Below are 16,423 nucleotides of genomic sequence, written 5' to 3'. Positions count from 1 at the left end.
TTACATTTTTTTTTGTACTCTCATTTAATCTTTTTCTTGCCTCTCTTCTAATTAACTCCATCGTTGCCTCCTTCATTATGCTTGTAATGAGGTCACCGAGGTGTTCCGAAATTTCTGCTTTTCCCATCTGCTTCAGGGTTCCAATTAGTTTCCTTTGGAAATCTGAAGTTTTGCTTAGTAGAAGCTTCCAATAAAGCTAACTCTAGGATGGCCTCTTTTCCTTCATCAGTTCAAATGAAAACTTTCAAGATTATACAGGCTCTCAATGGTGTAAAAGGCATCATTTTCTCTAGCATAGAAATGGAGTTAGAGACAACAACAGTTGAGCTACACAGAAAATTTAAATATCTTTTGAAAGAGTGTGAAGTCTGTTCTTCCAGATTGCAAGTAGATGCAGGTGAGAAATTTCAGAAAGACACTTTTATCCACACTTGGACGTGAAGGGTATGTAGCTAACACAACAAAATGAATTTTAAAGAAAATTTGCAAATAATATATTTTAAGGAAAAAGTTTTTAAACTTTAATATCGTGCTCCTAGAGCATCATTTTCATATAGAATTTTGCAACAGACCATTTTTTTTTAGCCACTGCTATGGACTGAATTGTGTCCTCCTCTAAATTCACATGTTGAAGCCCTAACCCCTAATGTGACTGTGTTTGGAGACAGGGACTGTAAACAGGTAATAAACGTTAAGTGAGGTCATAAAGGTGGGGCTCTAATCTGAGAGAATTTTTGTCTTTATAAGAAGAGGAAGATCGACCAGAGCTCTCTCTCTCTTCTCTAGGCATGTGCTCTGAGAAAAGGTCATCTGAGGACAAAGTACCCGTCTGCAAGCCAGGAAGAGAGCCCTTGCCAGAAACTAAACCCCGCTGGAAACTTGATTTTGCGCTTTCCAGCCTCTAGAACTGTAAGAAAATACATTTCTGTTGTTTACATCACCTAAACTGTGGCATTTTGTTATGGCAGCCTGAACAGACTAATACAGCCATTACAAGTAATTCTTTTATAAGAGAGAAGCACTTGTGTAGTTTGTAAAGCAGAACCTAAGTCTGCTTTATACAGTAAAATCTTACCTATATACAATAAGAACTTCCCTAAGTTAAGAAATATAGGAGAAAATGAAACCTTCATTTGTTGCTGGTGGGAAGATAAATTGGTATAGCCACTTTGAAAACAGTTTGGTATTTGCTCAAAATGTTAAACACAGAGTTACCGTATTACCCAGCAATTTTACTACTTGGCAGATAAGCAAAAGAAATGAAGGCATACAACCACACAAAACCTTGTATATGAATGTTTATAGCAGCATTATTCCTGATAGCCAAATAGTGGAAACAACCCAAATGTCTATCAAGTGATGAATGGATAAATAAAATATGGTATACCTACACAATGAAATATTATTTGGCTATAAAAATAAATAAAGTACTGGCATGCTACAACATGGATGATCCTTGAAAACATTATGCTAAGTGAAGGAAGCAAATCACAAAACTATATGTTGTATAATTCCATTTATATAAAATGCCTAGAATAGTCAAATCCATAGAGACAGAAAGTAGATTAGTGGTTGCCTGGAGCAAGGGAGTGCAATGTTGGGGGTGATTGCTAATTAAATGGTATGTAGAATCTCTTTCTGGGAAGATGAAAATGTTCTAGAATTTAGATTGTGGTGATTGTTGTACCATCCCGTGAACATACAAAAAACACTTTAAATGGGTGAACTGTATGATGTATGAATTATATTCCAATAAAGCAATTGAAGAACTGTACATATCCTTACATATACACATACACAGAAACATACAGCAAGAAAACATAAAATATCAATAAATGTTTCATATGTGTTTTCAGCTGAGTTTCTACTCACTTCTTTCGACATATATATATATATATATATATATATATATATAATTTTGTATACTGAATATAGTTTTCAATAACCAGAAAATAAATAAATATTATAAACAAAGTAAATGTTCTAAACTCTCCTGCCCTGGGCAAGGTTGTTCTCAGAGATTTCCCAACTAATAACAATGACAAGAACAACTCCTATCCACTCAAACTCTCTTCATCTATTGTTTACTATGTGCTGCTACCTGCTGGAAAGACAAGCTAAATAAAGTATATAAGCTCCTTGAGGATAGGGACTTTATTTTTATTCACTACTGTGAATAAAGAAAACTCTCAATTTGGTGAATGAATTAAAACCACAATGAGATACCATCTCACACCAGTCAGAATGGCTATTATTAAAAAATCAAAAAATAACAGATGCTGCTGAGACTGTGGAGAAAAGGGAATGTTCATACACTATTGATGGGAATTTAAATCAGTTCAGCCACTGTGAAAGGCAGTTTGGAGATTTCTCAAAGAATTTAAAATACAACTACCATTCGACCCAGCCATCCCATTACTGGGTATATACTCAAAGGAAAATCAATTGTTCTACAAAAAAGACATACACACTTGTATGTTCATCCCAGTGCTATTCACAATAGCACCTAAGTGCCCAATGATGGTGGATTGCATAAACAAAATGCCATACATACACCCCATGGAATATTACATAGTCATAAAAAGATAAAATTACGTCCTTTGCAGCAATATGGATCCAGGCTGGAGGCCATTATTCTAAGCAAAAATCACAGGGACAGCATGTTCTTATTTAGTGGGAGCTAAACATTGAGCACACATGGACATAAAGATGGAAACAACAGATACTGGGGACTACTGGGGTTGAGGGAGAGTGTGTGAAGGGTATGGGGTAAAAAACTACCTGTAGGGTACTATGTTCACTACTGGGTGACAAGATCATCTGTACTCCAAACCTTAGTGTCATGTAATATACCCATGTAACAAGTCTGCACTTGTATCCCATGAATTTAAAATGAAAGTTGAAATTATTTAAAACAAAAAAGAAAAAAGAGATGAATGAAGACATCACTGTATTTTCTTTCAGGCAGGTCACAATCTAGTGTGGTTGTGTGGAGTGCAAAAACAGGCAGTGGTTTACTAAGCATAGATACAGGGTGCTGTGGGAACATTTAGGAGAGACACAAAACCCAGGATAGGGTATTTAGGACAGGCATCTTTCGGAAGATAATTTTTTTTTTTTTTGAGACAGAGTTTCGCTCTTGTTGCCCAAGCTAGAGTGCAATGGCACAATCTAGGCTCACTGCAACCTCTGCCTCCTGGCTTCAAGTGATTCTCCTGCCTCAGCCTCCCGAGTAGCTGTGATTACAGGCATGCGCCACCATGCCCGGCTAATTTTGTATTTTTAGTAGAGACGGGGTTTCTCCATGTTGGTCAGACTGTCATTGAAATCCCGACCCCAGTTGATCCGCCCACCTTGGTCTCCCAAAGTGCTGGGATTACAGGCATGAGCCACTGTGCCCGGCCATGGAAGATAATTTCTCAGCTGAGTCCTGAAGAATGAATTGGTAGCAGGGAGGGAAGAAATTCTAGGCAGATAGAGTAGCCTATATCCTAAGACCCAAAGATGAGCTGGTGCATAGTCCACTCAAGGGATTTCAAAAGCTGTGGTTAAGTTTGGAGTGTTGAGTGAGTGTGGGTTGTAATGAGAGATGAGGTTGGAGGAATTTCAGAGGGTATAGATAATAAATCATAAAAAGCTCTACATGGAGTGATTTTATCTTAAGGCAATGTGAATCATTAGAAGGGTTTTATTTAGAAGGTGACTCTATTATGTTTGTACTTCTCTTGGTTTTGCAGACTATGCCATTTAAGTTCCTTTATTATGGTAGGTATTTACCTACAGGCTAGCCAGGACTAAGTTCAAAATAAAAAGAGAAGACTTTTTGGGTCTTTAATTAAAAATTCTTTTTTTTTTTTTTTGAGACAGAATCTCGATCTGTCACCCAGGCTGGAGTGCAGTGGCATGATCTTGGCTCACTGCAACCTCCACCTCCCCGGTTCAAGCTCTTCTCCCGCCTCACTCTCTTGAGTAGCTGGAATTATAGGTGTGTGCCACCACACCTGGCTAATTTTGGTATTTTTAATAGAAAGGGGGTTTCACCATATTGGCCAGGCTGGTCTTGAACTCCTAATCTCAAGTGATCCGCCCACCTCGGCCTCCCAAAGTGATTAGATGACAGGCGTAAGCCACCGTGCCCCGCTGTTAATTAGAAATTCTATTGCTTATGTGGCTCTCCCAGCTTCACTTCTTACACTGTTGATGAGGAAGTTGGGGTCCTAGTTGGGCCGGTGCTCTAGACTTGGTTGGCGGGAGCAGAGAGCTATGACTGTCAACGGAACTTCACTCTGGAGAGGTTTTACTGAAGGCTGTACTTTAAAGTGATCAGAGGCTCCAGCTGGTATTTCTAGCTCTCCCTAGATCTTCCACTGAGCAGATGCAGCCTCACCTTCCCCACTCAATATAGTTTTTGGTATTTTGGAGATCCTACCTGACAGGTGACTCCTTAGTTAAAGTTATAATTACTCTGGATGATATTTTAATTTTACCTGGCATTTTAAGCGCATAATATTTAAGCCATCTCTATCACTATCTTGGGTGGTAATGACGGTATTTTCTATGTATTTTGACTGGTATAAATAATGTCTGGCTTTTAACCTTATAAGCATTGTACACAATGAACCATATTCAAAGCCAAAATTATACACAACTAACCAGAGGTGGAATCATTAAATGCTTTCATGTGGGAAGGGAAGAATTCAGTGTAGAGAATGAGTTTGAAAGCAAGCTATTGGAGTGATCCATGTGAGGAACAATAGTGGCCTGACCTGACTTGGTAAGATGGCAGAAAAGTTGAAATGGCTAATGTATGAGCAAGTAGACATGGTAATGAATATGATGATAATAAGAATAGGGAACACTTACAAATAGCTTTGGTTTGTGCCAGGCAGTGTACTATGTTCCTTACCAAGGTTATCTTATTTTCTTTCTTTAATCCTCACAGCTGACTTTGTGAGTTACAGCTCTATCACTGATTTAGACACATCCCAACGTTGACTTGCATGGTGCTCTGACTCACCTTCTGAGCAATTTTAGCCATTGTCATACTGGTTTTCTATCAGTTCTGTCAACAGGCCTTGTTGTTTCTGACTTAGGGCCTTTGTGGATGCTGTGCTCTCTGTCTGGAATGCTCTGTACTCCCAGTCCCTCCAAACCCCAACTCATAGACATTTACCTAGTTAACATCTACTTTTAGATCTCAGATCAAATACTCCTTTCTCAGAGAGGCCTTCCTTGAGCCCCAAGTTCAGGTGAAGTCCAATTTTTTCATGATTTTATAATACTACACACATTTCTTTCCAATGATAATACCAGTCGTAAACTGATGTGTACTTAAGTGTTTAGTGGAATCATTGTTATTTCCTATACTAGGTTATAAAGTCCATGGGAATAGGAACTATGCTCAGATTTCAGTTTTATTTATTTATTTATTTAGAGACAGAGTCTCAGTCTGTTACCCCAGCTAGAGTGCAGTGCTGCAATTATAGCTCACTGAAACCTCAAACTCCTAAGTTCAAATGATCCTCCCACCTCAGCCTTCTGAGTAGCTGGGACTATTCGTATGCACCACCACACCTGGCTAATTTAAAATTTTTTTTCGAGACAGGGTCTCGTCATGTTGCCCAGGATGGTCTCGAACTCCTGGCCTCAAGCAATCCCCTCGCCTTGGTCTACCAAAGCTCTGGGAATTACAGGCATGATCTACCCTGCCTGGCTTATTTATTTTTAATCATCATGATATTTCCAGAATTTATCACATTGCATGGCATGCAGTAAGCATTCAATTAATGTTACTTGGATAGATTGTAAACTTGGAGACTTTCACTTTCCCTTATTTACTTTTCAAAATCTATTAGTTTACAATAGTTTCCTTATTGTACCTATGTCATCCCTTCACAACACTCAGAGTGGCCACAAGCACTCCAACAACTTATGCACTTTAGGCTGTCTCCAGAATGATGATACTCATCATATTTCTGTGACTTCCAACTTCTATCTGCCTCCTGGATTCACTCCTTTTCCTGTTACCAGCATTGCTCCAATGAGAACAAAGACTTTTAATTTTGCAGATTCATGATCAAACATGGAGATGTGTGCTTTTGAGTTGACCATTATTCAAGTCAAAACCTGGAGCAGTTATTTTTGAGCAAAAGGATGAGGAATGATCAAAGGCTTGGAATTTTTAGTGCAAATAAGGGTTGGTTCATGCATTTTAAAGGCATGACATTCATAATATCAGAGTGCAAGATGAAATTGCTAATGTAGAGAGCAGTACAAGAAGGTAGTAAGACTTTCGGCTTCAAAGGCAGGAGAAACCAGCAACTTGATCACTTTGTCTGCTTGAGAAAAAAAAAAGAGAGAGAGACAGAAAAGGAGACATTTTGAATTGGGTTTTCAAAAAGGCAAGAAATTACAAAATTGAACCCATTTTAAGATTTTCATTATGTAAAAAAATTGTATGTATATGTGAAAGGGAAATGACAAGGTGAAATAGTTTTTTCTTTGAAGGAAACAAGATTATAGGGTGAACTATTTCTTTATTTTGTTTTGATTTACATTTATATTGTCATACGACACATATATTTTTCAAGGAACTCCAAATCTTCTTTAAAGTTTCAAGGTATAATTTACAGAGTAGATCTACTATATGTGATGTTCCATGTTACATCATTTTAGTTAATCCCAACAATGACCCTGAGAGGAAGATGTTGAGCCGGAGGCAGGAGGAATTCTTGAGTCCAGGAGTTTGAGACAAGCCTGGGCAACATTGTGAGATCTCGTCTCTACAAAAAATAAAAAGTTAGCTGGGTGCAGTAGCACACACCTATAGTCTCAGCTACTTAGGGGGCTGAGGTGGGACAATTACTTGAGTCTGGGAGGCCAAGGCTGCAGTGAGCAGTGATCATGCCACCCACTCCAGCCTGGGTGACAGAGGAAGACCTTGTTCCAAAAACAAAACAAATGAAAAAAAAATGAAAGATAAAAAATTGCTTTAGAAGTTGAACAAGTTAAAAAAAAGAGATACTTTTTGTGTGTTGTAAGAGGTAGACCTAGGAGTTGAACCCTGCTTGATCTGATTCCAAGCTTAGTTTTAATCCATTGTCCTACTCTGCCTCTTTTCAGGGTAACGGGACACAGTCTTCTTAAAGAAGACTTTCCAAATTCCCTGAAACTGCTGAAAATATTTCTTCCTCTGCTGCTTTATTTAAATTAATGAGTTATTTCAATAAATAATTTATTTATTAATTATTGTTAAATATTAATATTTATTAAACATTTGGTGCACATATGCCAGTGATTGTTGTACTTTCTGCCTTTTTTTTTGTTGTTGTTGTTGTTGTTGAGATGGAATCTCACTCTTGTTGCTGTGCAGTGGCGTGATCTTAGTTCACTGCAACCTCCACCTCCCGGGTTCAAGCAATTCTCCTGCCTCAGCCTTGCAAGTAGCTAGGATTACAGGTGCCTGCCACCACGCCCAGCTAATTTTTATATTTTTGGTAGAGATGGGGTCTCACCATGTTGGTCAGGCTGGTCTCAAACTCCTGACCTCAGGTGATCTGCTCGGCTCGGCCTTTCAAAGTTCAGGGATTACAGGCGTGAACCACCGTGCCAGGCCATGTTGTAGTTTCTGAGTGAACAAGAGTGAATACAATGAATGAGGTCCTTACTCTTAGACTATTCTAGTAGAAGAAAGATAATAGATCTCAAATTAGCAAATAAGAAAGTTATGAGATCACAGTAAGTGATACTTAGAGAATGAATGTTGACTATCTGATTGTGATGACTTATTGGAGCCCAGAAGCTGCTTATTAAATAACATAATGGGAAGACCTCTCTGAGGAGCAAACGTTGAAGTTGGGATCCCAATGACAAGAATGATCCCAGCAGAAGAGCAAGTTTTTACCAAGGCCCTGTGGTAGAAACCAGAATATGTTCAAGTAATGGCAAGAGAAGACCAGTGTCACCAGCTCGTAAAAGATGCTAGAGAGAGACGCAGTTGGAAAAGTAGGATGTAGCCAGCTCATGAAGGGATTTGTAAGCCAGAGCAAGAAAAATGGATTTTAGTTTAATGGACATAGGAAGTCATTGGAGGATTTTAAGTGAAAAAATGTTATTCTTGCTGCTGTGTGGAAAATGGATTGTTGGGGAGCAAAAGAGTCGGGTCAGGGACATGAGTCAGAAGGCTATTGTGATATTCCCAGTGGGAGAAATGGCAGTGGTTTTGATGGGAGCAGTGGTTCTTAAATGAAAGTGTTCATGGGAATCACCAGAAGGGAGGGCTGAACAAGCTGATAGACCTGCTTCTTCCCCCTGGGGTCTGATTCAATACAAGTGGGATGGCGCCCATGTTCGCAGGTTGTGCTGATGCTGATTCTACAAAGGACAAAGGTGTTAGTAATGGAGATAAAAGGGGAAAGATTCAGGATGTATTTTAAAGTTGAGACTATAGAACTTGCCAATGGATTGAATTTAGGGAGTAAGAAAAGAAAAGAATCAACATTTAGAATTCTGGGGAAGTGCTAGAGGTGCTTTTTACTGAAATGAGGAGGTCTCAGGAAGGAACAGGTTTTGGTTGGAGAGGAGTAAGGGAAGAATCAAGATTTAATTGAATTAAGGGGAAATTATGAAGATGTTACATTTTATACATTTATACTGGATTGTATTAAGTAATTTTAGATGATTTATTAAGGTGATCTAATCTTTTCACTGAGGCAGTGGGGCTGGTACAGAGAACACAGCTAGCTTGAGCAGGTCCCAGTGAAGTGATGGAGGCCAGAATGGGGGCTGGAGCTAAAGAGGGCACATGGAGTCAGGAGTGGTAATAGGCACTTTCAGTCCCAGCTACCCTGGAGGCTGAGGTGGGAGAATTGTTTGAACCAAGGAGTTCAAAACCAGCCTGGGCAACATTAGTGAGACGCTGTCTATAAAAAAGTAATAATAAATAAAAATAAATAAATAAAATGAAGAAGGCACATGGGGGTGGTTGGAAGCTGTCTGCATGATTCAAGTCAGGTGGAGGAGTGAAGAGGAGTGACTGAATTAGAATGATGTCAGGAATAAATATGTAGGATTCTATACAATGGCATTATCTGATGTTTTTGTCTGGGACTTATGGGCTGCAATGTGGTTTGATGAACCAGGGCAGTTTACAGGATGAGTGGCAAGACATGAGCCTGGTTATTAATAATTACACATAATACTACTAACAACAACTAACCTTTATTGAGCGCATACACTTTTCTGGGCATTGCTGAGTGCTTTTCATAGGTTATCTAATTTAACTCTTACAATACCCCATGAGATAGGTGCCATTATTATTCCATTTTTATAATTCGGGAAACTGAGTCTGAGAGGATAACTTGCCTGAGGTCACATAGCTAGAAAAATTATAGAGCTGGGATTCATACTTTGTGCTGTTCAATATTTTAGAAAGTTTTTATCTGTACAAGTCTAAAACAGACATTTTGGGGGTACTAAAGAGCTCTTTTCTGCTTTGCTTACAAAATGTTTAATGTTAGGCTTTAGGCAAGAACATGCACCTCTGCCCCCCCGCCCCACTGCCCCTTTATAACATTAAAAAATCAAGATCCAGTAATTTTATCTGATAGCTCATGTTCCAGAATGTAATCTTTTATAAGCTTGAGGACTTTGCATGGTCTGTGTCTGAAAACAGTAACTTTTGCACATGATTAGCCTGAGTTTTTATTGCTATGTTTTATTTTAAGTGATAATAAATTAATTATATTCATGAAGGTGTTAAATTTGCTTGAGAGGATTTTTTTTTTTTTTTGCTTCCCAGAAAAGGGAAAATCCCCACCTTCTGGGATGTCAGTTTTTTTATCTGCTTCTCCTCCTTTCCCTTGCCTGACATCTTTAATCTCTTCTCCTATTTCTCAGACCTTCATCTTCCAAAATGATGTTTACTGGGAACATAGAGAACAAAAGATAGCCCAAACATACATCTCTAATGATAGGTGTGCCTTTATCTTCTGTACTCACTCTGACACTTCCCTGTGCTTATTCCACATCACTCTCCTGAACCTTGGCTGCTGGCATGATCCCTACACAGACAAGTGGGAGAATTAGACAGGCTCGCTTGGGGTACTAGAGAGATAAGAAAGATATTTTCTTAACACATTACATTTCATGGGATTTTTTTTTTTTCTGCCCAGAGAAGCGTTCTAGGGCTGTTCGCTCACTATTTTCCCCAAGTCTCTGAAAAAGTTATTCAATTGAAAACTTCAGAACCCGAACAAGGATGATAATACTGAGGACCCATCAACATATTATAGGCACTCTGAGGACAAGGAGATAGCTTTTATTAAAGAAATACATTTTCTATAGTACTATATTGTGCTATGTTGTCTTTTAGTAAGTATTATTCAACTTTTAAAATTTTGTAGAAACTGCTATTCTCACTGTGCAGCAAAGATCTACAATGTTTTATCCCTAGCTGGCTGGCCTTCATTTCTGCAGAAAGGTTTTTCAAAATACGCACTTTCATGCTTGTAATTTAAAAAATACTTTCCAAAAATCAGACTTTATTACATAAGCTTTGTGCTTTGAAGCAGTGTCATGGAAATATATACATAAATCATAATGTGTTTTGATTAGGCATTGATTTGAATTAAATGGAAAAGCAAGAAAATCCTGAGCTGACCTAGTAAATAAAAATATGATGTAATTGGGGTGCTTGGCAGAAATTCCTGTTCCTAAATGTTTCTTTAATAGTACTGATAGGTTACGACTATATTGGCATTAGCTGTTAGGAGTTGCTAATTTAAATGTAATCATGCCAGCAGTCAAGGTTCAGGAGAGTGACGTGAAATAAGCACAGGGAAGCGTCAGAGTGAGTACGGAGGATAAAGGCATGTGTATCATTAGAGATGCATGTTTGGGCTATCTTTTGTTCTCTTTCTATGTTCCCAATAAACATTTTGGAAGATGAAGGTCTGAGAAACAGGAGAAGAGATTAATCTCCTAATTTCCTGGAAGTAGCATCATGTTGTCACTAGTTAACAATTTATGTTGGAAATATTTGATATCTAGTTAAAAGTAATTGTTAATGAGAATGAGATCCAGGGAAGGTTGAAGCCAGAATTGGAATGGAATGGAAGGGCAGTTTTACGGAACTACTTTTTCATGGAGATGGACTGAAATGCGTGAGAGGAAAATACGAAGGCCTAACTGCCCCAGCTAGGCATGCCGAATCTCGCATTCTGAACCCTAACTCCACCAACGGATTTATTTGTTCAGTAAAACAAAGTAGGAAATTTGGCAGGAACTTCTGGTTAAGTATTTTGTCTGGGTCCTACACTTCTCTTGGTGCTACTGAGGCCCTCTCAGTTTTGAAGTTTATCTTGCTTAAAACCTCTGATGATAGGGAGGTGATAGGGATTTTAACTGTATTACATAACCGGCCTTTCTTCTTTGGCCAAAACAGTTTAACTTGGTTGGGGGGATGGAAAAGGGATGATTAATCTGAAACAAGGGCAGAAATGCGATGAGTTGGACCAATCAGATTCTCCTTTACTTATCTGAACTAAATGGAAAGAAGTAGGAGCTGAAGCTGAGAGGATGCTATGGTGTAAAGCTGGCACCATGGTGAGCCATAGGAAACCAAAGTGTTGAGGAAGCATACATTTTGAATAAGCAAAGGAGAGCAGTAATTATGACCACCTACCCCGGGAGAGGCTGATGTAGCCATTAAGTGGTTCTTTAAGCCTGTGGGTAATTTCACAGTAAACTTCCCTTCTCTTAAGAAGGCTCGTGTGAGCCTCTGTTGTAATCAAAGTAGCCCAACTAAAGTATTGCCTGAGTAATTTTTGCCTGGGATGACTTTGATGGTCAAATCCTGAAGTATGCCACCATTATGCCACCAAATTTCTAGAAGTAAGCAATTTCTAGATGTAGGATATAAGAAGCAGACAGCGCTATTTAAGAGGAATGAGGAATGTATTAAATTTGATGTGTTCAATGGCAATCTATTTTGAAAACCTCTCAGCCCATTTCAGTCTTCTCAGCCCACTTACTTCTCTGATCTAATCTTGTATGAAGATAAATTTTGAGACTATGCGTAGGTTTTTTTTTTTTTTTTTTAAGATGACTGCTTTTTACCTAGAGGGATGTTCATAAGTATAGGGAGATAACTATGGAATTATCTATAGGACTTGATCCCAGAAAGTAGATGTGAGTGAAATTTCACCCAGATTTACTTCACACACTACCATTCAATAACACCAGGGGCTACTCAAATTAAGTTTAAAACTTTTTTTTGGATTATTTTTAAAAGTATGTCCCATAGAAAAGTCTGCTATGGCAACATTTGACATGCCATCTATTCCTAACATTTTGGTTCCCACAAATGATTAGCTCTACCATAGAGTATGAAGAATAAATAAGAGCAAAAGATTATAAAATGAGACCATGTGTCCAAACATGCTATGTATGCCTTGGCAAACAGAATGCACATATTAAGACAAATCCCATCTAGCTTGCCAGATAACTGGGTCAAAGCTGGCACAAATAAGATTCCTGTTGGATAGAAAAGATAGGGAAGCTTTACAGTGGTCCCCTCGAAGTAGGGAGACTGTATAATTGATCATCCAGACTGAGACAGTTGAGAGTGGTAGGCACACTATTAATAATTACAGTAAGGTAATAGATGTAAAGTAAAAGTCTTCCAGGAAACTGATTAGATGGATACCCTAGAAGGAAGTCATTGATTATTTTCGCTTTAAAATTTCTTTTGTCTAATGGCCAAAGAGCTAAAAGTAGGTCCTGAACTTGGAAAGAATATTCTAAAATCCAGATTTCTTGAAAATGCCTACTGTTTAACACATTGGAGTTTTTATCTTTGGGACCATAACTGCCAAATTTTAAAAGAGTAAACTTGAGCATCGAGGCATTGCTGCAGAAATTTTACCCAACTTAAAGACAGTGCACCTTGTAGGACTGATGCAAGGAGTCTTACCTGCCAGGGTCGTTAGTTCTCTTGGCCAGGCACATCAACCCTGAAGGCTCTGGGCCAGGTCGTGTGTGCTAGAATTAGGTTTTTTTTTGGACTTGGGGTAAAATTTACATATAAAATTCACCATTTTAACCATTATAAAGCATACAATTCAGTGGCTTTTAGTACATGCACAATGCTGTGCAACCATCAGTACCGATGTTGGTACAGAACTTTTTTTTTTTTTTTTGAGACACGGTCGCACTCTGTCACCCAGGCTGCAATGCAATGGCACAGTCATGGTTTACTACAGTCTTGACCTCCTGGGCTCAAACAATCCTCTCTCCTCACTTCCGAAGTAGCTGGGACTACAGGTGCATGCCTCCACACCTGGCTATTTTTTTATTTTTATTTTTGTGGAATGGGGTCTTGCTATATTGCCCAGGCTGGCCTTGAACTCCTGGGTCCAAAAGTCCTCCCACCTCAGCCTCTCAAAGTGCTGGGATTATGGGCATGAACCACCACACCTGGCCTGCTTAATTGTTTTCTTTAAGTCAATTAAAACTTTTACCTAAGTAAATTTATTTTAAAACAAGTATTTTTCACTTCCAAAATTACAAATTTGACATGATAGATAAAAAAAATTAATGTTTGCTGTTTACCACTTAAAGTGGTTTCATGTACCACCAGTTGACCACATACCACATTTTGGTGCCACCAGGCCTGGTTACATTTTAAAATTTTTGTAGGTTGGTCTCAAACTTCTGGGCTCAAGCAATCCTCCCACTTTGGCCTCCTAAAGTGCTGGGATTATATAGGCATGAGCCATGGTGCCCAGCCCAGAAAATTTTTATTAACTTAAAAGGAAACCTCATATCCATTAAGCAATCACTCCCTAGTTCCTTCCTCTCCTTAGCCCCTGGCAACCACTGAACTGTTTGCTGTCTCTGTGGATTTGCCTATTCTGTGTATAACATATGAAAGAAATCATTCAATATGTGGCCTTTGTGTCTGACTTCTTCCCTTAGCATAATGCTTTCAGAGTTCATCCATGTTGTTTATCAATATTTCATTACTTTCTACAGGTGAATAATTGTATGGATATACCACATTTTGTTTATCCATTCATCTGTTGATGGGTATTTGGGTTGTTTCCACCTTTTGACACTTTTGAATAGTGCTGTTATGAACATTCATGTAAAAATTTTTGTTTCAAATCCTGTCTTCAATTCTTTGGGACATATCCCTAGGACTGCAATTGCTGGGTCATATGTTAAACTTTTTGAGGAACCATGGAATTAGTTTTATGAGCAGGATACCTTTAAGGGTATTCTCAAGGAGGTCGTGAAAGAGAGGCAGTTGTGGGTGTTTTATCGATGCTGAGAACCATTTCCTTAAAAGGTTGAGGCTCAGAGATTTTCTAACACTTGTTTGCCTACTCCTAAACTAGGCAGACTAAAGGAGGAAGCATTAACATCCAGCTCCTTACTCCACCAATGGATTTGTTTATTCAGTAAAACTAAGAAGGAAAATGGGCAGGAAGTTTTGTTAAGATTTTTCTCTGGGTCCTATATTTCTCTTAGTGCTACTGAGTCTCTCTCATTTCTGAAGTTTATCTTGAGTTTACTAATCTTCAACATTTACAAAAGCAGACATTACAGTATTTTTTATTTTGTATTTGCCAAATACTACTATTCCTCAGAAGCTGATTTTTCCATATCTTATGAATGTGTTATTTTCCTGTTTTTGATATGAAATTGCTAATTTAAAAAGAAACTACTTTAAAACATATGATATAAACACACTGCTTTTTTCTTTGTCTCCTACTATGCAATATTCCTATCTTTACGAAATTGTGTTTATTTTTTCCCACGAAATAGCTTATTTACTAGAAATAAATCCCTTCTTTGCATAGGAACAGAAGAACCACATGTCATTGGAAAGCTAGCAGATAGGAGTCTGTGATTCTGACTATTTTACCAATATTATTTCAGAAGTTTAAACAGAGGGTTGACTAGCTTCCAAATTAAATTGGAAATACTGTAATTTGCTTTGGTTTCTTTTGGATGAAGGGTCCAAGAAACAAGATGTATCCTGGGTGTTTTTTTTTTTTGCTTTTCAACTAATGAGTGGGCATGGAATACCTGGGGGAGTTATCCGTGCAATTGCCACCCATTATGTTAAATGGTGGTTTTTAATTGTTTCCTAGTTTCACAAAAATTTTCTGCCTTTTGGAATGTTCATTCAACAGATTTATTACTTATCAACAGAAAACATTCTATACATGTGTATACTTTTTAGCTCGTATATGATAAATTTCTTTGCTTAATTTAAATAGCTTTTTTGGGGGATGCATATATACAAAATATTGGAGCACATTAAAAAACACAATTTATAATCATGATTATACCAGGGCCAATTGATTATATTTCCATGCTCATTTATTACAGGACATCAGAGGAAAATATTCTTTACTTTATCCTCTATTCAGAGAATTTTATTTAAAATTTTTGTCTTTCCATTATTGTGACATTTATTTTGTGAAACAAATTAACTTCCCATTTATGCTCCCAAGTGATACACCTTTATTGATTAAATTAAAGAAATTCCAATTTTTCTTTATTTAATTTCAAACATTTCCTGTGTTATAAAACTGGCATGATCTATAAATATTAAAGTCAAGATCATAATTAATAAAATAATTAGAGGCAATGACAATGAGAGGAATGAACTAATGAGCAAGACTAGTGCAGGCAATGTTTCATGTAAAAGAAAATGTGCAACATGCACTAGAAACCTCACAGAAAGGTTATAGGTTGGCACTTTGATCAGATAATTAATCTTGATTATTTTAGAGACCCAGTGTGGTCTGATTGTATGTGTGTGTTTACTCTCCTATGTATATTTATATATACATTTTAAAATTCTACAGAATCAACAATAGAATGCAAATTGTAATTTGTTCAAGTTTTTTTCCCACCAGTTTTATTCAAACACTATCATTGTAAACCTTGAGGTCTGAACATAATACTTTGGTGTTAAATGTTGGAAAAAGGATGGTTAGCAAAGGAAAATCATCCTGACGTACCAGCCTCTTTGACTGGGAAAGAAATAAAAATAACCAAGAAGAGAGAACAGCAGCAGAGGGACAGCATCTGTTTTTAAGAGCTGCATCTCATGGACTCATTCATTAAAATCCCAGTGTGCCTAAGCTTGACTTCCATGAAGCTTTATTTTAACTGTGTTAGATTTGGAGTGGAGAGAAGAAAAGAGAGGGAGAGGTTGAGGGAGAGTGTCCCCATTATAAGTATTTCATCTGCTACTACATCAGATAATATCTACCATGGGAATTGTAAACTTTCAGGCATAGTGATATATTTTTGAACATCTGAGATACTACACACTGAAAACACCATGAAATAAAAATAATCTCTTCACACTTCCCAACTGGCTGTTTATCAACTTTTTCCTTTC

The 16,423-nt window shown here is 37.7% G+C and overlaps 1 long non-coding RNA gene across 1 annotated transcript in view; it reads left to right on the top strand.

The window, feature by feature from the left end:
• The first annotated feature begins 733 nt into the window (after nucleotides 1–733).
• LINC01339 (long intergenic non-protein coding RNA 1339) overlaps nucleotides 734–16,423 on the top strand; it is a 131,733-nt gene continuing 116,043 nt past the window's right edge. The window contains exon 1 of the long non-coding RNA NR_120601.1: nucleotides 734–909. This is a non-coding gene — a long non-coding RNA (long intergenic non-protein coding RNA 1339). The remainder of the gene's footprint in view (nucleotides 910–16,423) is intronic.

Source organism: Homo sapiens, chromosome 5 (genome assembly GCF_000001405.40).
Source record: "Homo sapiens chromosome 5, GRCh38.p14 Primary Assembly".
NCBI classification, from domain to species: domain Eukaryota; kingdom Metazoa; phylum Chordata; class Mammalia; order Primates; family Hominidae; genus Homo; species Homo sapiens.
The sequence above is the reverse complement of the archived record's forward strand: the minus strand, read 5'-3'. Positions and strand labels throughout refer to the sequence as shown.